This window comes from Homo sapiens, chromosome 4 (assembly GCF_000001405.40).
Source record: "Homo sapiens chromosome 4, GRCh38.p14 Primary Assembly".
Classification (NCBI taxonomy): domain Eukaryota; kingdom Metazoa; phylum Chordata; class Mammalia; order Primates; family Hominidae; genus Homo; species Homo sapiens.
The window spans coordinates 96630753-96652024 of record NC_000004.12 but is presented as its reverse complement, the minus strand read 5'-3'; the positions used below and the strand labels follow the sequence as shown (position 1 = coordinate 96652024).

Sequence of the window (21272 nt, the reverse complement as noted above, 5' to 3'; positions counted from 1 at the left end):
ATTAACCCTTTACACTTTTGTAATATGTCAGACTACCTTCATATATCACATTTTGAAAATGAAAGAAGATTAAATGTGAATAAACCCTAAGAATACACCAAAATAAATATACATTACTTTTTAAACTATAATAAAATAACATATTGTTTGCACTATGGCTTTTGAGGGGGCCTCAACATTCGAGACTTCAGCTGCATATTAGAATAACTCTGGAAACTTTAAAAACAATCAATGTCCAGGCTTCTTCCTAAATCAATTAAATGAAGATCCTTGGGTTGAGGCCAGACATTGATGTTTTTAAAAGCTCTCAAGATGATCCTAATGTACACTGAAGGTTGAGAAGCACTGCTATAGACTATCTGTCTAAGGGAAGAAATCAACTCTCAGACCAACCAGAATTGTCCTAAAGGAATAAATTTTATCAGATAAGGAAGCATGTTCCTTATTTTCTAATACCTGTTATTTGACACAACTTCATATCCTATGCTAGTTATTGGGCTTTATCTGACAAAGGTTCCTCATGATATGGGACAGAATCTGAAAGTAGGTGAAAGCAGAAGTGGCTGGCAACAGAATGAAGGGTGATGGTACTGATTTAAGTTGACTTGATAGACAGGTGACTGTTTTTCAGTCATAAAGTGGGGAGTGGAACAAATGTGTCATAATTGTCCAAGGAGTCATATTTACATCCGGACAATCCCTTCTCCTCCTCACCCACATACATTTTCATGCAAGTGTCCTAGAAATTTTGTTTGTTTTTTTTTTTTTTTTTGAGACGGAGTCTCGCTCTGTCGCCCAGGCTGGACTGCGGACTGCAGTGGCACAATCTCGGCTCACTGCAAGCTCCGCTTCCCGGGTTCAACGCCATTCTCCTGCCTCAGCCTCCCCAGTAGCTGGGACTACAGGCGCCCGCCACCGCGCCCGGCTAATTTTTTGTATTTTTAGTAGAGACGGGGTTTCACCTTGTTAGCCAGGATGGTCTCGATCTCCTGACCTCATGATCCACCCGCCTCGGCCTCCCAAAGTGCTGGGATTACAGGCGTGAGCCACCGCGCCCGGCCGAAATTTTGTTTTTCTCACATCACTGAATTGAAAAACATTAACGTGGAAAATTTCTTTCAAATTCAGGACCTCTGGTGAGCATCACACTTATCACTTAAAATGTATTTAATGGTGAAAATGCAAGTACTATGAGGAAGGAAAACACTGTAGTATATCTTCTTTATTAACTTGATACAAAAAAATTAGGAAAATAAAGATTTGAAAGATTTTGAACATAAGAAAAGAAAGCAATAAATACTGAGTAGGTATGAGGTATGGAGGAAAACTGGCATATATTTAAGGAGTTTGAGGCATTTAGGGCGATTTTTACCTATTTAATAACTTTCTCTCTTCCTGACACTTGTAAGAAATATCAGTGTTGGACAGACGTGTTCACAAAGCCATAGGGAGAGGAAAAGGCACACAAAAGATTTTGGGCCTGAATAAATGTAGTCCATACTAATTTCATATATCCTTTATTATTGTCAAGACTCTAGGTCTTATTATGTGTGAGATTATATTTTCTTGTTCAGAAAAATATTTCCAGCAGATTTATTGCAACAAGTAGCTGAACTGCTTTTGGAAACAGTAGTAAAGAAATCATTTTAAAAGCATGGCTTTCCTACTTTTCAAATCTAAACAACACAGCCACTATTAATCAAGTTTACAGATTTTCAAGTTCCTAATAGTCTGGTTTGGTTTGACTTGAATGTATTTGTTATCTTAACAGCTTTTTCCTTTAAACAATTTTATTGCTCAGAATTACCTTAACTGGAAACCCTTGCTATTTCAGCAAGCCTTCATATCATAGCAGCCATGAATCAATAGCTCAGTATTGAATTTTGAGAAATACTGACTAACCCTATTGCTACAGGACAGGATTTGCTTCTAACTAGCAATTAAATTGCCATGTAGGCTAAAATCCATATTTCAAAAGTCATCACCATAATGTTAGCTTGTTTGATTCCTAGGCTTTCAAAATGTACTTATTGTTCAAATGTACTGTTATTAAAAGATAAAAATCACAAAACTAAATCCAGGCTTCTTCATCTCTAGCTTCTACTTGGGAAGTCATGGTAGCCTGAAAAGATTTTCTTATTGCTTTGAGAGAGCAGAGGTGAGTTATGGGTACCAAATAAAATAGAGGTGTATTGACTCTACTCAGTGCTCTGATTCATACCTTAGTCTGCCTTAAACAGTAGTTTTGTGGTTTGAGATGTGGGTAGAAGCGTACAAGAGGAAGTGCCTGAAAGCTGTAGGCTGGGATGGGTCAAAGGGTATCAGAGGATCATAGAAATAGCAGCCAGCTAGTAGTCCTGCTGAATGCTGAAACCTTGACTCATGACACCCAGTCACTAAAAACTAGGGACTAATAGGAAAATTAGTCCCTAGTTTTACATTAGTTACACAAGTTAACATTTTTCCAGGCCTTCTCAAAGGATTGAGTTGCCAAAAATTACATTTAATTACAAAAAAATTGCAGCCCCAAATATTGTTTATATGTTAATTAGACTAAAAATAATATTAGGGCTAGTGTTCAAGAGGTAAAATAGCTCAAAGGGATACTTTGGTATTTGAGACAGTGTGAAGGATTTTTTTGCTGTGCTGTTTTGGTAGGATGGACTCTGTCTCATAAAATTTCTTCCACATAGAACAAGATAACCTCAAAATCACAAAACTTCACATATTGGTCACCCAAAATCAATTTATATGTGCTCTATGCTTTAGAACTCAACATTTTTTTAAAAATGCACTTTCCCTCTGAATTTATTGGCAAACGCAACAATCATTATTTGGTCTCAAGAGAGTACACTAATATTTAACTATATCCAGGTCTCCTCTAACAATAAAAAATGCTATAATTGATTGAAGTGAATACAAATTATTGAAACACAAAGTTAAACACTTGAAGATAAAAAGTATATCAGCATGTTGAATAATGTATTTTTTTCTGATACAGAGAGATAGGTAGAAAGAAAGAGAGAAAAAGAGATCCTTAACTGATTACCAAAGATATAAGGAAAGGCATTAGGAAGTGTAACATACTTTTGTAGAAGCAATGAAACTTCTGGCTTAGGAATCTATAAAATAGACTGCAGGAAATGTGTAAATCCCACTGCCTTCCGGCCTTCATTATTTCAAACTATAAGTAATTTATCAATTGCATGGCTATTACTTAGCATGTTGAGTTGTTTCTCTCCTACTGTATTGAAGAATTTCTCTTTGTTTTTCAGCAATTTGACTTTGGTATATCTAGGTTTAGATATCTTTGTGTTTATCCTATGTAGGAATTGTTGAGCTTCTTGGATCTGTAAATTAATATTTACATCAAATGTGGGACATTTTTAAGCCTCATTTCTTCCAATATTTTTCTGCCCTTCCTTTTTTCTATCTGGCAATCACATTACATCCATGTTGATATCCTTGATATTTTCTCACAAATCTCTGAATTTTTATTTTTCATAATTTTTTCTCCTAATTCTTTTCTTTCTTTCCTTCCTTCCTTCCTTCTTTCCTTCCTTTCTTCCTTTCTTTCTTTCTTTCTTTCTTTCTTTCTTTCTTTCTTTCTTTCTTTCTTTCTTTCTTTCTTCTTTCTTTCTTTCTTTTCTTTTCTTTTCTTTCTTATCAGTCTCGCTATGGTGCCCAGGCTGCTCTTGAACTCCTGGGTTCAAGCGATTCACGCACCTTGGCCTCCCTTACTGCTGTGATTACAAGCATGAGCCACCATGCCTGGCCTCTCCCTAGTTTTAAGATTGAATAATTTTAATTGAGCAATTTCAAGCTTATTGATTCATTTTTTTTTCTGTCAGGCTCAAGCCTGTCTGGTAAATTTTCTTTTCATTTATTGTACTTCTCAACTCCAAAATTTCTATTTGGTTCTTTATTCAAACATTCCTATATATTTACTGAGATTTTCTATTTTCTGAGTTATTGTCATCACAATTAAATTATTTAAGCATTGTTTTCTTTACTTCTTTGAATATAGTTATAACAGCTACTTTGAGGTCTTTTTCCTTAAATCCAATATCTAGGTTTCCTTATAGATAGTGTCTTTTTTTAATCCTGTGTACTAGTCACACTTTTAGGCTTCTTTTCATGTCTTAAGAATTTTTATTGAAAACTAGACATTTTAGACAACATAGCAACTCTGGATTCTGACCTTCTTCCTCTGTGTTTTTATTGCTGCTGTTTAGTTCATTCGGTTGTCTGTTTAGAAACTTGTCAATACTAAATATGTGTCAAAAGCAAGAGGATGAACTTAAATGGGCTCTGACTAGACAAATCTGAGAAATGTGAGCATCAAAATTAATGATGTAATGGCAATATCATAATACATTAAAATTGATATGTTCATGGAAAAAGACGGAAGAGTTCTTAAGAAAGTCCTGATATCTGAGAAGGATGTGGAGCAACAAGAAATTTTGTCTTTTGCTGGTGGGAATGCAAACTGGTATAGTCACTTTGGGAGACAATTTGGCAGTTTCATATACAATTAAACATAGACGACTGATAGAACCTAGCAAGGGCACCTTTAGGTATTTATCTATCTGGTTTGAAAACTTATGTCAACCAAAATTTTGCCTTTGAATATTTACAGCAGTTATCTCCAAAACATGAAAGTGGCTAAGATGTGTTTCAGAAGATGAATGGATAAAACGCCCCGTTATACATCAATACAATGGAATTAAATTCAGTAATAAAAAGAAATGAACACAATGACATTAATAAATTTTTCATTTATATTGCTAAGTGAAAGAAGCTTGTGTGAAAAGGTTACATATCATATTATTCCATTATGTCACATTTTGGAAGAGGCAAAACACCTATCAGTGGTTTCCAGGATTTTAGGGAGCATTGTGTAAGTGAAGCACAGGAGATTGTATTTTAGGAGGGTAAAACTGTTGTGTGATGCTGAATTTGTCAAACATGTAGAACTTTAAATCCAAAAAGTAACATTTAATATATGCAAATGTAACTTGGGAGGTCAAGGGATCCCAGGATGGAATGCAAATTGTGGTAAAATAATTTAATTGTATTACAAATGTGTGACATCACTGAAGGAATTACGGTGAAAAATTGCTCACCCAAGTGACTTTGGAGAAAGTGGAGACAGTAAGACTGAAGAAAATATGAATTGTGCATAAGTACTGTACTCTAGTTGGTGAAGTTGTTTCTCATATGTCTATGAGTTAGTAATTCTGAAACCACTATGTATACATACTTGGACTGAACAAACGCATTAACAAATTGTAGATACTGGAAGTCTTTTTTTTCCCTTACAATCGAAGGAGCAGGAGTAGAATGAACCTTTTAATACCAAATTAAGTTGGAGACATCAGTATAAACTCATGTTTAATTTAATAATGATTAAAAACTGATAGATATAGAAATACTTATAAATATGTATGTATACACAGGGTATAATAGAAACAAATTTCCAAGTTGTGTCCTCTAAAAAAGCTTAGAAGTAATAATACCCCAGTAGCAATGAGCATACTGAGAACCTAGTATGATCTTAGTTTCTAACAGAAAACAATAGAGCTCCTTGGAAAAAGTCTAGGGTAGTAAATATGTAAGATGAGCCTAAAGCATCTAGTAATACCAGATTGTAAGGAAGTGCTTAAAAACAAACCAATGACGTCAGCCTTAGGAAAGAATTTATGACAAAGTTCTCCAAAGCAATTGCAACAAAAACAAAAATTGACAAGTGGGACCTAATTAAATTAAAAAGCTTCAGCACATCAAAAGAGACTATCATGGGAGTAAACAGAAAACCTACAGAATGGGAGAAAATATTCTCAAACTATACCTCTGACAAAGGTCTAATATCCAGAAACTACAAGGAATCTAAATAATTAAACAAACAAATATCAAATAACCTCATTAAAAAGTGGGCAAAAGACATGAACAGACACTTCTCAAAATAAGACAAACAAGTGGTCAATAAACATGTGACAAAATGTTCAACATCACTCATCATCAGAGGGATGCAAATAAAAACAGCAAGGAGATACCATCTCCTTGACAGAATGGCTATTATTAAAAAGTCAAAAAAAAAAAAAAACAGATGCTGGAGAGGCTGTGGAAAAAAAGGAATGCTTATATGCTGTTAGTGGGAATGTAAATTAGTTCAGCCACTATGGAAAGCAGTTTGGCAATTTCTCAGATAACTTAAGACAGTACTACCATTTGACTCAGCAATCTCACTACTAGGTATATAATAAAAAATAAAATAAATTACTCCACCAAAAAGACACATGCCCTAGTATATTCATTGCAGTACTATTCACAATAGCAAAGACATGGAATCAATCTAGGTACCTATCAATGTTGGATTGTATAAAGAAAATGTGGTACATATACATTATGGAATACTATGCAGCCATAAAAAAGAATAAAAACATGACCTTTGCAGCAACATGGATGCAGCTAGAGGCTATTGTCCTAAGCAAATTAACACAAGAATGGAAATCAAATGCCTCATGTTCTCACTTATATGTGGGATCTAAATATTGGGTACTCATGTCTATAAAGATGGCAACAATTGACACTAAGGACTACTAGAAGAGGGAGGGAGAGAGGAGGGCAAGGGTTGAAAAACTACCTATCAGGTACTATGCTCACTACCTGCGTGATAGGATCAATCATAACCCAAACTCAGCACCATTCAATATGCCTATGTAATAAACATTCACAGTTCTCCCAGAATCTAAAATAAAAGTTGAAATTATAGAAAAGAATGAAATATGTCAAAGAAGTACAGGAGCCAACTGAAATAGCTCTTAACGACAAAGCTGGAACAAATTGAGTGAAAAAATAAATAACATAGAACTGGGCTCTTACCTAAAGTAAAAATAAGTATCTATGAGTTCATACTGATAATAAATAAATGACAGAATAAATACATGTAAAGGGAAGGATAGACAAATCTCTGTCTAGAAGAAATAAAGATAATTTATATAGATACACCTTCCTTCAGGAAGTGGGTTTTGTGTAGTGACTTTCTTCCAAAGACTAGCATATAGAAAGAGGGGAAAGGAGTAATTTTGCAGTTGAGAAACCTGACAAACCCTGTCCTAGCCATGTGATCAAGGTTAACATCCATGGTGAAAAGTCATGTTAATAACATTGATTCCTGGCATAATAAAATGTAAGTGGTACTTTATCTGTGTGGTCTACTTTCCCAAAAGCTAAAACCAGGTCTAGTCATGACAAAACATCAGCCAAAAGAAAATTGAACATTCTACAAAATACCTGATTAGTACCCCTTAAAACTATCAAGGTAGTTAAACACAAGGACAATCTGAGAAACTGCCACCATATAGGGACGTCTAAGGAGACATGATGAGTAAATATAACATGGTATACTGGATGAGATCCTGCATCGGAAAAAGAATGTTAGGGGCTGGGCGTGGTTGCTCATGCCTGTAATCCGAGCACTTTGGGAGGCCAAGGCAGGCAGATCACCTGAGGTCAGGAGTTTGAGACCAGCCTGGCCGACATGGTGAAACCCCATCTCTACTAAAAATACAAAAATTAGCCGGGTGTGGTGGTGCATGCTTGTAATCCCAGCTGCTTGAGCGACTGAGGCAAGAGAATTGCTTGAACCTGAGAGACGGAGATTGCGGTGAGCTGGGGTCATGCCACTGCACTCCAGGCTGGGCAACAGAGCAGAACTCTGTCTCAAAAAAAAAAAAAAAAAAAGAACCCAGAAAAACAACATTACATAAAAACTAAATAAACCAGCTAATGAATGGACTGTATTTTGTGTCAATAGTCAATTATTAATGATCAAAAATGTATCTTCTAAGGCAAGATATTAATATCAAAGCAAACTGATTGTGATAAGTGAAAGAACTCTGTACTATCTTGGAAGGTTTCCTGTAAATATAGAACTATTCTACAATTTTTTTTTAGAAAAGAAAACATGGGGTAAACTTTAGGAGGAAAAAGTATGTTCATGTAGTTCAAAGGACTGCCCCACTAATTGTTTTTCATTACAAAGAAGTAAAGGTATCTTTTTGATGGAGAAATCTAGAACGTGCCAACTTAAGCAAGTGATGAATTTTTTCATTGCCAGATATTGAAAAATTACATGCCATATGCTATTTGATGTGCTATACAGAGAAGGATACAACATCATTTATGCTGTGATTTTGACAAAAATATCTACTATGAATTTAATTATGAAGAAAGTATTAGACCAAGTCCAACAAAGTGATATTTCACAAAAATAACTGTAAAATTTCTTAAACATGTAGAAGCTTTATTAGCTGGAGGAATGCAAGTTAAAGTATTAACTTTTTTACTTATTGGTAATATTTTACCATAGAGTTTTTGAAAAGGGCTTCTTAGACTAAGTGGCCTTAGTTATATAAATCTAAGGATCTCTTGATCAGGATCTCTGTGATTGAGTGCGAGAACAGAATACATGTTTTGGTGAGTTAATGTTTTCCTGCGTAAGTAGAATGAAAAAAAAAAAACAACCCAACTCTTTCTAGGAATTTGGATTGGGTAAATCAGAGATGATCAGGCATAGTGTCAGTGATGTGAACATTTAGAATTTAAAGTTTACCTAATCCTAAAGCATTGCATTAACTCTAAATATGACTATAACCAGAAGCTTTCTTCCACTTCATGATCTAGATATAAGAAGTCTTTCAACGATTTTTTCTCTGCTCCTACCATATAGTCAGTGTAACCACAGAGAAACTGAACATGTGAACAATTATGGAGCATAATATTTTTTGTAAAATGGAAGTGATTATTCATCTTTTAAAAATATAAACCTGACATAACTTTTTAAATATAAAAATTATTTTTGAATTAACATAACAGAATCACCAGCCATGAATATTACGTCTGACTAGAAAGGTAAGGCACTATTTTGTAACATCATTTTATCTGGCTAGGCAGCAGAGTTTCTAGTTTTTTACTCTGAACCATTTTCTTAATTGGATCATTAATATCAGCTATTGGTTATATTTTTAAAATGTTCTATACAGAGAAAAATGTAAAGACCCCTTCCCACTACCATGTTTTTGTCTTATTTTGTTTTCAGTATTGTCAAATTTCAGTAAATCTGTTAGAAAACCTATATATTTTACACATGCTGTAAATAATCTGATCCTGTAAAGTAACAGATGTGTGTTCTTACTATCAAGTACTACAATTATATCGCTTTGTTTGAAGTGAGCTTTCTTCTTTCTTCCAACTTTGTGATCTCCTTCCAAGCACATAGCAGAGCCTCCCTACAATGGGTTGACTGTGTTATTTGACTTTGCCCTAAGCTTTGCAAGGCCCCCTGTGGCTGGTTGTAAGAGGCATTGGGAAAAAAAGAAAAATGCCTTTTGCCAGCTAGTACTGAAGAGAGAAATAACACAGACACCTTGAGACTTATGTTCAATTAACCTTCCCTGCCTCCCAGCATTTCCACGGCAAAACTACCAACTTCCACAAAAGTTATAAGCAATTCAACAAATATTTACAGGACTCCTAGTGGGGTGGGAGATATTCTGCCAGGGCCAGAAAGGGAGGAGTAAAGGGGAGGAGGAAATTGATTAAGAGAGGGGAAAGAGTCTAAAAGTCTGAGTTTGGGAGTTAAATAAAATGGGTTAAAGACTTTTAACTCTTTCCTATATTGATCTGTGAACTTCAGTAAGATAACACCTGTAATTATTTTTTCTCATTTGAATAAGACTAGAGGGATTTATGTAAAATCAAATGAATACCTTTTTAGTTTCAAATAAATCAATAACAACAATTCAAGTTAAATAAATTTAATAGAATTAATAAGTGTAATATTTAAATATTACAAATTTATTGCCTACTAACTTGTGACTGAGAATAAGAATTTAATTGAACTAGTTCTGGGAAGCAAATCAGACTTTGGAAAGATGGATAAAATTTCCTGAGAGGAGACAAGTCATATAGACTGAACTAGATAGGGATCAAAATTCTAGGCTTTCTGGTGAAATTGAATTTATACATTTATAGACAGGTTAGCTATAAGAGTGCCTGAATTGTGTGCCAAAGACTGATCATAGACTGGGGGGGGCTGTCAAATATTCGATAGCAAAATATAAGAGAATAAGAAATAAGTGGCTAAAAGAAGCACAAATTACACACAGAGGAAAAACCCAGAATAATTTATTCCAGTTGATATGGGAGGGATTATCAGGAAAGGTTTTATGGGATAGGTAGCATTGAGTTGAGTCTTAGAGATGACAGTGTTGATATCTGAGGCAGAGAAGGGGTAAGGACTTGATCAATGTCAATTCTGTGGGCACAGGATGTATTGAAGAAATATGGAAGTATTAAAGAAATGATAGATATGCCAGAGGGTCACAGTATGTTAATGTGATCAAGAATAAGTCTATATGTACAGAGGGCAGAGAATGTTGCACAGGTAACCTACGGAGAAAACCAATATAAGGAAAAAAAATGAAGCCTAAGGACTGAACCCTGGGGAATATCAACATTTGGAGTTTGACAAAAGATATAGATCTGGCAATGAACAATGAAAATAAAACATCTATAAAATAAGAAATAAATTGGAAGGGAGTAGAAAGTAAAAAAACAAGAAGAAAGTAAAGAATGAAAAGTGAGTATCTGTATCAAATGCTGCTAAGGTTTGAGTAAAAAGGAAACAGATAACTGATAGCCAATTTAGCAAGATGGATGTCTTTAGTGTTTTAAAAGGGTTGGTTTAATTTGTTGGTGTAGGTGAAAACCTCTGCCAGTTTCTAGAGAGAAGAAAGTGGAGAAATTCAAGACAGAAAGTATTAACTGGCAACTTTCCCATAAGATTTGATTATAACGTTGTGTTATAACCTTCTATACTAAAAGAAAAAGTTAAAAAATGGCTGTAAATGGAGGGAAAAGAGAAATTATAGTCTGCATGTATGCTGAGAGTAATCATCATCTTTGACTTGGCTAGAAAGAATGCTCTAAAAATATTTGAGATTCAAGTTGGAAATCAATGTAGCAATAGTCTAGGAGAGATATGATGTCCGGTTTGAACTACGGCATCGGCATCGGAAAAAGAGGAAAATGGAAATACAAGTAAGACAATGTAGAAATAGAATGACTAAAGTTTGGTGATTGGCTTTAGAGGAAAAGAAAAGTGGTAAAAATAATGCTACAATATTTAGCTTTTGTGATTTGGTTGATGCCATAGTTCAGAAACAAAAGGTAGGTAGTAATGGGTGTCAGTTGAAGTGCATGCCTGGATTATTACAATGCCATAACCTCTGAGATCAGCCTCACTTCACTTAGATGAGCTTACAATGGTCAGGTGTCTCTCAAATGGCCTAAAATTAGCTAATTAGAGGAATTCTCTCTGATTTTGCAAACTGGAACTAGGAAAAAAGATCAGTCAAAACTTCAAAATTTGAAGCTCAAATATGAATCCTTTGGACTAAATATTTGTCCTCCTCCCCGCCCTGCAAATTTATATGTGGAAGCCCTAATCCCCTATGTAATATTATTTGAAGCTGGGGCCTCTGATAGGTTACTAGGTTATGAGGGTAGAGACTTCATGAATAGGATTAGCGCCTGGATAAGAAGAGACACAAAAGAGATGATCTTTTTCTCTCTCCATCATGTGAGAATAACAGCAAGATGCAGGCTGTCTGCAAACCAGGTAGGAAACCCTCACTGGGAACCAAATCAGTTGGCACCCTAGTCTTGAAATTCCCAGCCTCCAGAACTGTGAGGAACAAATTTCTGCTGTTTAAGTCACCCAATCTATAATATTTTGTTACAACAGCCTGAGCAGACTAAGACAATGAAAATCAGGAGTTACTGGCAATCACCTTCCTTACCCTATGAAGTGAATGGGTTTTATTGGACTTCATAAAACTGACACTTATAAAGAAGGTGGGAGAACAAGGATACAGACACTTAACTATTGTTAGTCTAGTCACACCCAAGTATATGTCCAATAAATTCCTCTTTAATCAAGTTAATTTTAGTGGAAATTGTTTGTAACCCAAAAAGGACATACTGATTGAGTAGTATGATTTAACAAGCTAAATTTTTCAAATATTATGTTTGAGGTATCAACAATAGCTAGTGGATTTTAGAAATTCAGACCTGGAATTCACATATGAGTTCAGAACTGCAGTGTCATACTTTGGACTATCGAGGATATAATCAAACTATTGGGCAAGAACTATACTCTAGTTGTGTATATAGGCATGGTAGGAATATTTTTAAATGTGTACATTGAATCCTATTGTAAAACATATACATAAAAAGAATAGTGGACTAAAGCCTACGGAAGATAATTTTAAGAAAAGTAATCAGAGATGTAAGGAGACCAAAAATGCAGTTGTCATAGAAAGTGAGGGCATGATAATTTGGGGGAAGCAAAGGTACTTAAGTGTGTGAGATTTTTTTCAAAGAGGTTAACTGTGATGATCACTATCACAAAACCACAGGGTTTGATATTTGAGAGGTTAATGACCTTTGAGAAAGCAGGTTTGGAGAGACAAGATTATTAGGTTAAGTTAGTATATGCATTGGCAAAGAGGAGACAGTAAGCAAAAAGTACACTTTTAAGTAATATTAAGAACAAGTATAGTAACTAAAGGGAAATTCAGAGTGGAAGAAAAATATTTTCCACCCTGAAATATCTTTCCACCCTGAATAAGAGTGATGCTTGAGCATATTTTTTAGATGAAAGTAAGGAAAACGGGATAAAAGGAGAGATTGAACATGTAAAAGTATAACCAATAGAGCATGGATAAGATTACCAATATGAGATGGAGAATTAGCCTTAGAAAGAAGGTGGGCCATGTCTTCTGTTAGAGGCAAGATGACCAACTATAGTTAAAAGAAAGGTAGAGAGATATTTTAAGGTAAAAAAGTGGAGTGGGGGAATGCCTGTTTTGAGGACCACAATTTTGAGAAAAGTGACCAGATATAGAAACATGAAAATATTGACAAGGATTTACGTCATCTACAGTAGCAAACAGAGTAGAGAATTATCCAGAAATGAACATGGTATGCCACATTTTTTTTTTTGTGGAAGCTGACCCTTGATTTCCAACTGATTCAGAAGATAGAATATCCAAGGACTGTGCCATAAAAGGATACTAAGAGAGAGAACATATGCTGGGATTTGTTTTGTGATCTATCCTGAAGAGGGTGTCTCTGAATCCTATGCCACAAGGAAAGCCTGAATTTCTCAGATGTGAGTGAGCCTTTCTAGAATGTTACCTTCTTATATGAACAAGAGAAAAGGACTATGAATTTGCTGATGAAAGTCTTTCCATAAGAGAAGATTGATGTTTAGAGAAAATTGATAGCTCCTACAAGGCTACCAACTTTGTATTGCCCTATCTTTACAATAAGGAGTTTCTGGAATGAATCACTGTCTTCATTTACAATACAACAGTATTATGGAGCTTGGTATACTAGAAACACTTGCTTCAGAAGATTTCAAATGAATATACATGCATATAAAATATCATCCGTTTACAAGTTATGGATCACCTTCAAGTTTACTGCTGGTTCTTTGTTTGAACCCTGAATCAACAGAAAAGCACATTTGCTCTCCAGGCTATGACTCTGATACAGGGAGACATTGTAATTGCTCCACATTCCTGAGTAATCATTTTCTGATGGGTTTATTGCCACCTCTGCCTTATCAGGGCATGGCACTTTTACGGACCCTGGTGATAAATTACCCTTTAGAGAGGGATAAGACAGTGCCACTTTAACAAGTGCAGTAAAGCACTTTTTATATTAGGAGAGTTCAGTGCATTTCCCATTCATCATACACCCTCAGTGATTTTACACAGATTTTACACTGTTGATTAGCTCATTAGTGGGGTTAATTGGATACATTAACTGGCAGAATTACAGCTTGACTATGAACCAGAGGCTGCAGCATTATAAATGACAGACAAACCACAGACATGCATGGCCAGCCTGAAGGAAGTTCTTCTCTTTGATTAACTTTCATTAGATTTCAATTCTTTCCCCCTCCCCACTCCTGCAGTTGACTCTACATGAATATTTACTATGGATTGGGTAAGTGAATAGATGACACTAATACACATTTCCAATCCTGTCCTCTCCTTCTAAAGTAACTCTCTGATAAATAATAAGAAAAAGTACAGTTTAGAAAAGTGATAGAAATAGCCTATGGGAAACCAAGAAATGATGATTGTCTAGAAATTTAATAAATTATCTTCTTATGAAAGCTAAGTTTTTATTGAATTGTTGATTATACATAGTGGGAATTAATACTTCTCTCATGGGTTGTACATCAGAATCACAGGGAAAGCATTTAAAAATACAGATTCCTAGACCCTCCCCTTAACCTATTAAAGTAAAACTTCTAGAGGTATGTTCAGGAATCTTTATAATTAAGAAATTCCCTAGGTGATTCTTACACAGTGAGTTTGGCACTGTGGTTAAAATAGCATGTCAGTTTGCATTAAACATCAAGCGGTGTGGAGTATTGACTTAATTAAACGAATTAAAGAGATATGTTACCATTTGAAGAAAGGCCACGGAACAAGACAAAACTTTCTTTGTACATCAAATTCGCTACCAGATACGGAATCTAAAGTGTTCGTGGAACTTTCTAAGGGGGATCTTCATCTATATTTCCTTTCTTCTTCTTTTTCTTCTACTAGTTATCACTGCCATTATGAAAAGAAATGTTTGGTTTTATTCTTTTCCTAAGAAATTATGTTTGCCTCAGTGAAACTCTAAGAATAGAGAAGATGTAAAAGTTACATTTTTGATTTGTGTGAGTCCGAGGTAAGACAGTGTTTGACAGCCGAGAGAGTGCTGGGCCTGCTTTGTAGTGTTAGCTCTGCTCCTTGCTTGTGAGACAACTTAGGATGTTCCAACCGCTCTGGGCCTCAATTCACTCTTTGTAAGTTGGAAATCAGTTATATCTCATGTACCAGGCTAACTATAAAGACTATATGACATTTTATCTGATTCTATGTGCATTTGTGAGAATGGTAGAAGTTGAAAAGGGTCATCTCCAAAGGAGGGGGGAGAGTCAGAGTCTGGCCACTTACGCAGCTAATTCACAAAGCAGAGGGTATTTAAAAAGTAAGAGGCCAGGCATGGTGGCTCAGCACTTTGGGAGGCTGAGGGGGTGGATCACGTGAGGTCAGGAGTTCAAGACCAGCCTGGCCAATATAGCGAAACTCCATCTCTACTCAAAAAATACAAAAATTAGCCGGCCACAGTGGCGTGCACCTGTAATTCTAGCTACTCGGGAGGCTGAGGCAGGAGAATCACTTGAACATGGGAGGTGGAGGTTGTGGTGAGCCAATATTGCACCATTGCATTCCAGCCTGGGTGACAGAACAAGACTCTGTCTCAGGAAAAAAAAAAAAAAAAAAAAGAGCATTTCCTGTGAATAACATGTGCAACCTATGTGGAAAAATAATCTGGGATTAAAGGAAAACTGTTGATGGTTGTAGCTAAATTTACCTCTACCGGCTACCCTTCAGGCAGACAGGATCAGCAACCATATAAACTGTCAATTGTAAAGGCAACCACTCAATGAGGAGAAGACAAGAGAAAAGGATTAGTTTGCAGAAGTGAAAAACACAAGAACAGGAATAGGATGAGGAGGAAGAAGAAAAACTAAAAACTCTGTGGGTTCTTGGAGGAAAGAAAGCCAGAAGTGCCAGGAAGAGGGAGAGAAAATGTCATAATATCTGTGGGGCAGGGTGTGCTTGTGTGAAAGAAATATTAGAAAAATCTACCTAAAAATGCATGGGAGCAACTACTAAGTTACTGTGTAGGAGGGACTTTGATAAATGATTGATGGATTGATTGAGACAGAGTCTCACTCTGTCGCCCAGGCTGGAGTGCAGTGGCTCGATCTGGGCTCACTGCCACCTCTGCCTCCCAGGATCCAGTGATTCTCCCACCTCAGCCTCCCAAGTAGCTGGGACCTCAGACATGTGCCAACACGCCCAGCTAATGTTCCTATTTTTGGTAGAGATGGGGTTTCACCATGTTGCCCAGGCTGGTCTCAAATTCCTCAGCTCAGGCAATCTGTCCACCTCGGCCTCCCAAAGTGCTAGGATTACACATGTGAGCCACCACACACCCGATCTGATAAATGATTTAAACAGAACTGAACCCAAAGTATACATTTATAGTGATTTTACATTCTGGAATTTAGTACTAGATTTGCATTCCAGATCATGATAAACCTTTTATTTTACCTGAAATAAAATGTATCATGAGATTGACTATTGCTACTGAAATTTCATTATGTGAGTTGAAGGCAAATGCTCTCAGTGCTTTTCTGTAAGAGTGAAGCAAAACTTTTAAGAGTATTGTGACTTGTGTTAACAGGACATCGTGATGTTTCTGGGTAGCCTAGAGCCCATGAAATTGTAGCTTAAGCTCCACACAGGTCAGAGAGTACTATGTTTAAGAAACTTTAGGTGTTTTGGCATATTGTAACTTTTAAGAAAAATTTTTATTTGTTCTCTATGAGAGGTTGTTTTCAGGCATTTGTTTTTCTCTCTTTGGTTGTGTAATATTTTGTTTTTAAATATATTAATGAACTCTTAATAATGGCCCAAAATATGACAATGTTGTCTCTTAAAACATAAGAATGAGGATGTTTCCAAACATATGCATTTTTAAAAATTTTCCCATATTGTGAGAGCCAAATAAAATGTAACCTATTAAATAAATGTCTTCCTGCTCAATCAGATCTCTTTCTTTTCTGAAATTCTATCACATGCTCTTTATGCACCTTATGAGGCACTTGTTTCATGTTCTGTCATATTTATTTGCATATTAACTTTATCTTCCTTACTAGAATATCTATTTCTGAGAGAAATTATGTTTAATAAATTATAAAATAGGCACACTGCTAACGACTGTAATTCTCATAATACGCATAAAGATCAGTGAAGAACAAAGAGTAAACCAAACAGAACATAGATTGTGATGAACACTGATTCCACATTCTTTCAAAGTTCATGCAATGAATTCAGCAGATCTCACAGCCTACAGGAAAAGTATGAATATACATGAATATTAAATTAATTATTTTTATATCTTAGTGGAGTCTAAAATGATAAAATAAGGGTAAATAAATGCATATTTTGAAGAGTATTGAATTAGGGAAATGGAATATTTTCTTGAGTATATTGTCAGTTATTCTTGGCCACGCTGAGAAATGAAAACAACTTGAAGGAAAACAGACTAGACACAAATTGAACAATGTATTGAAATGTAATCACAAAGCAAAACAAAATATATGTTTAAATATGCAAAATGTAAGAGGGAATACCATTTTATTACTGTTCTGGAAGGCAATTGAGAACCAACAAAGAGTGCTAAAGGACAGAAAAAAGCAGCAAATGCATTTAAAATATAAAGTATCTCAATTTGTATTTCTCTCTTCTAAAAAGCCTTATTATTCCCCATCTCCTAAATTGGAGTTCACAGTTTATTTCTCCTGGACACGCTAGCACAATCACCTAGGACAGAAGCCAATCAACTACGGCAGGAGGAGCATTGGGAGAGGAAACTCCACAAATGAGTGGGGGCTGGAAATTATCCTGTTGCTTTTTATCTGCCATAGGACTTGGCTGGACACTTTGGACACAGAAAATCAGTTTTGTATCTCTACTATAGAGGTATGACTTCCTTCAGTTCTTCATCAGTTGACTCATTACTCATTGATTCCAGGGCCCAAATTTCAACCTCAGGCTACTTTGCTGGAGCCCTGTCACTGTTAAAAGCTATGCGTAGTCTTCTCTTTCTAAGCCCAAAATCTTTTCCATGCTCCTTTTGACCTGTTGGCAAGGAGGTATCTCCAAGCAGAATAAGTCAATGAGTACCAGATGCCTGACTTAATCTTGTCACATCTTGAGCCCCTGCTTCAACTGGAGTCCATTGAAATCAATACTAGTGTGGATTCTAAGCCATCACACCCATTTAAATACCATTTAAATTTCAGGAAAGTAAGGCAATGATAGATCAGTTAAAATATTGAACATAACTTCTTGAAACTCAGCATGTTCACTAATGGAACACTCTTTTAATTTTCTCCTTTCATTGAACAAATTTGCCTGCAAATTAGTATAAAATAGTAATACATAGAAATATAATAAATTGAGTTATCATTTCTTAATATTTATAAAATGTAAAGCATGGATAAATACATGAATAGGATAGTAACAAAAACCAAACTGGCTAACTACAATCTGGAATCTAAATTTTGTTTCTTCAGAGCTAACTTGTCCTTTGGAAAACTTCCTTTTCTAGCATAAGGCCTAATACATAATAGGCACTCTATAAATAATTGTTGCAAGGATAAGTGTGTTTCTCTCTGCTAGAAGTTATTAGCAAACAGAAATAAAATACATAAATAAGGCAGGACAGGCTCATATAATAAATAAATAGCTTCATCTTAATAAAAATCTAAAATACAATATTAGTTTCAAAAGCACAGTATGATGATAATGAAATATATGTAGATTTATTTTGCCTGATTTAAGTAGTTTAGTTAGTTTGAATACAGTCCTTGAATAATTTAACTGGAGTATAGTTTAGTTAGTTATAGCATATAGTTTGGTTCAAGTATAGTAGAGTTTAGTTGTAGTTGGTAAGAATAAGAGTATATAGATGGGGGTGTGTGTGTGTGTGTGTGTTTTCATTACACAATGCATGTCTGCATATCTTTGAACCCAGGACAACAAACAGGTTCCATATTGTTTACCAACACTGATTTATTGGGAGTGCCTATCTAGAGCAGTGGTCCCCAGTCTTTCTGGCAAAAAGCGCCGGTTTAATGGAAGACAATTTTCCTGTGGATGGAGGGGGGAAATGGTTTCAGGATGAAACTGTTCCATCTCATATCATCAGGCATTGGTTAGATTCTCATAAGGAGCACATGACCTAGATCCCTCGCATGTGCAGTTCACAACAGGGTTCACAGTCCTATGAGAATCTAATGCTGCCACTGATCTGACAGTGTGTCCGGAATTGCTTTCTTCCACTGGGTTCTTGGTCTCCCTGACTTCAAGAATGAAGCCACGGACCCTCACGGTGAGTGTTACAGCTCCTAGGGATGATGTGTCTGTGTTAATTCAGATGTTCAGATGGGTCCAGAATTTCTTCCTTCCCATGGATTCGTGGTCTCGCTGACTTCAGGAGTGAAGCCGCGGACCTTCGCAGTGAGTGTTACAGCTCTTAAAGGTGGCGCGTCTGGAGCTGTTTGTTTCTCCCGGTGGGTTCGTGGTCTTGCTGACTTCAGGAGTGAAGCTGCAGACCCTCGCAGTGGGTGTTACAATTCATAAAGATAGTGCGGGCCCAAAGAGTGAGCAGCAGCAAGATTTATTGTGAAGAGCAAAAGAACAAACCTTCCACAGCATGGAAGGGGACCCAAGCAGGTTGCTGCCGCTGGCTGGGGTGGCCAGCTTTTATTCCCTTATTTGACCCCGCCCACATCCTGCTGATTGGTCCATTTTACAGAGTGCTGATTGGTCCATTTTACAGAGTACTGACTGGTGCATTTACAATCCTTTAGCCAGACACAGAGTGCTGATTGGTGCCTTTTTACAGAGGGCCGATTGGTGCACTTACAATCCTTTAGCTAGACACAAAGTGCTAATTGGTGCTTTGTTACAGAGAGCTGATTGGTGCATTTACAATCCTTTAGCTAGACACAGAGGGCTGATTGGTGCATTTACAATCCTCTAGCTAGATAGAAAAGTTCTCCAAGTCCCCATTCCACCCAGGAAGTCCAGCTGGCTTAACCTCTCAACTGGAGGCAGAGCTCAGTTGGTCATGCTTCATCGTCTACCACTGACCTCCTGCTGTGCAGCCTGGGGTTCCCAACAGGCTACTGACTAGTAAGGGTCCATGGCCCGGAGGCTGGGGACATTTGGCTTAGAGTATTACATTGAAAAATAGTATAACCTTGAGTTTGGACTCAATAGAAAAGCTCCAAGTTGAAGTTTTAATACCTGCCAAGAATTTGGGGTAAAGTGGTAGTATGTGTGTAGTGTAGTCCTATTCCTACACTTCCCTGAAATGATATGAGTTCTCTTTAGTATTTGGGGTAAAACAAAGTTGAGTTCAAGAAATACATACTCATATAAAACAAAAAATTCAGCCAGGCGCAGTGGCTTACACCTGTAATCCCAGCACTTTGGGAGGCTGAGGCGGGCGGATCATGAGGTCAGGAAATCGAGACCATCCTGGCTAACATGGTGAAACCCCGTCTCCACTAAAAATACAAAAAATTAGCCAGGCGTACTGGCGGGCGCCTGTAGTCCCAGCTACTCAGAAGGCTGAGGCAGGAGAATGGAGTGGACCCCGGAGGCAGAGCTTGCAGTGAGCCGAGATCGCGCCACTGCACTCCAGCCTGGGGGACAGAGTGAGACTCCTTCTCAAAAAAATTAAAAAAAATTCATTTCTTTCATTCAATTTATTTTAGAAATTGAATAAAAAATCCAAATATATAAAATATTAGGCACTGGTATTTTATAATCCCTACTCTTAAGCTCCCTTGAGTTGTAACTATAGCTTGAATATAAAAGATCTTTAATGTCAAAAGCATTTATGATACTGCATATGCACTAGGATCAAGCTGCAAATACAAAGTTGAATAAGAGACAGTCACTGCTCTCAAGGATTTATACTTTAGAATATGCTTTTGGCCACAAATAGTGCCAGCCTAAAAAGTTTAGAGAGCTTAACACAAACACTATTAGTGAAAACTGGCATTCGACAGTGTTATCCACATATGTAGTCAGCATATGTATCTACCTACAGTCCTCTGAGAGAAAGGAATTAGAACATCCAGCATAGCCGGATAATAATTCATGCAGTCTTGAGACCAAACAGCCATTCTGTGTATATTCCACTCCAGTGTTTTCTTCTAGAATTGTGAATGTCATTCTGTCTCTCATTGCTGGCTCTGTGCTGCCCTAGATCACAGTGCTTCTTGAAGGCTGCTAGGGAATGAACAATTTTGTTTCTATTCCCAGGATAACATCTGTAGGAAAACAACTCAGGCAGATATGTTCAGTTATGCAAGCAAGTACCACTTTCTTTTTATCTTCAGAAAGTCATTTGAGGCATGATTATGCAGCACCTGCCAAGATGTTATTGGGTGTTTCTTTCCCTCTTAGGAAGATGTAGTTCTGATGACCCTAATTGTATTGGAAAGAAAAAGGGTCGTGATTAGATGGTTATAGTCTCTCATTGGA

General features: G+C 36.5%; 1 long non-coding RNA gene across 1 annotated transcript in view, besides 1 other annotated feature; it reads right to left on the bottom strand.

Moving 5' to 3' along the window:
* Positions 1-21272, bottom strand: part of LINC02267 (long intergenic non-protein coding RNA 2267) — a 507713-nt gene that overhangs the window by 166391 nt on the left and 320050 nt on the right. The gene's annotated exons all lie outside the window — the stretch shown is intronic.
* Positions 2200-2400: a silencer, noted in NCBI's record as "peak5081 fragment used in MPRA reporter construct". NCBI's record gives its function as "represses an SCP1 promoter by STARR-seq MPRAs in K562 erythroleukemia cells {active_cell/tissue: K562}" and the evidence as "EXISTENCE:reporter gene assay evidence [ECO:0000049][PMID:32103011]".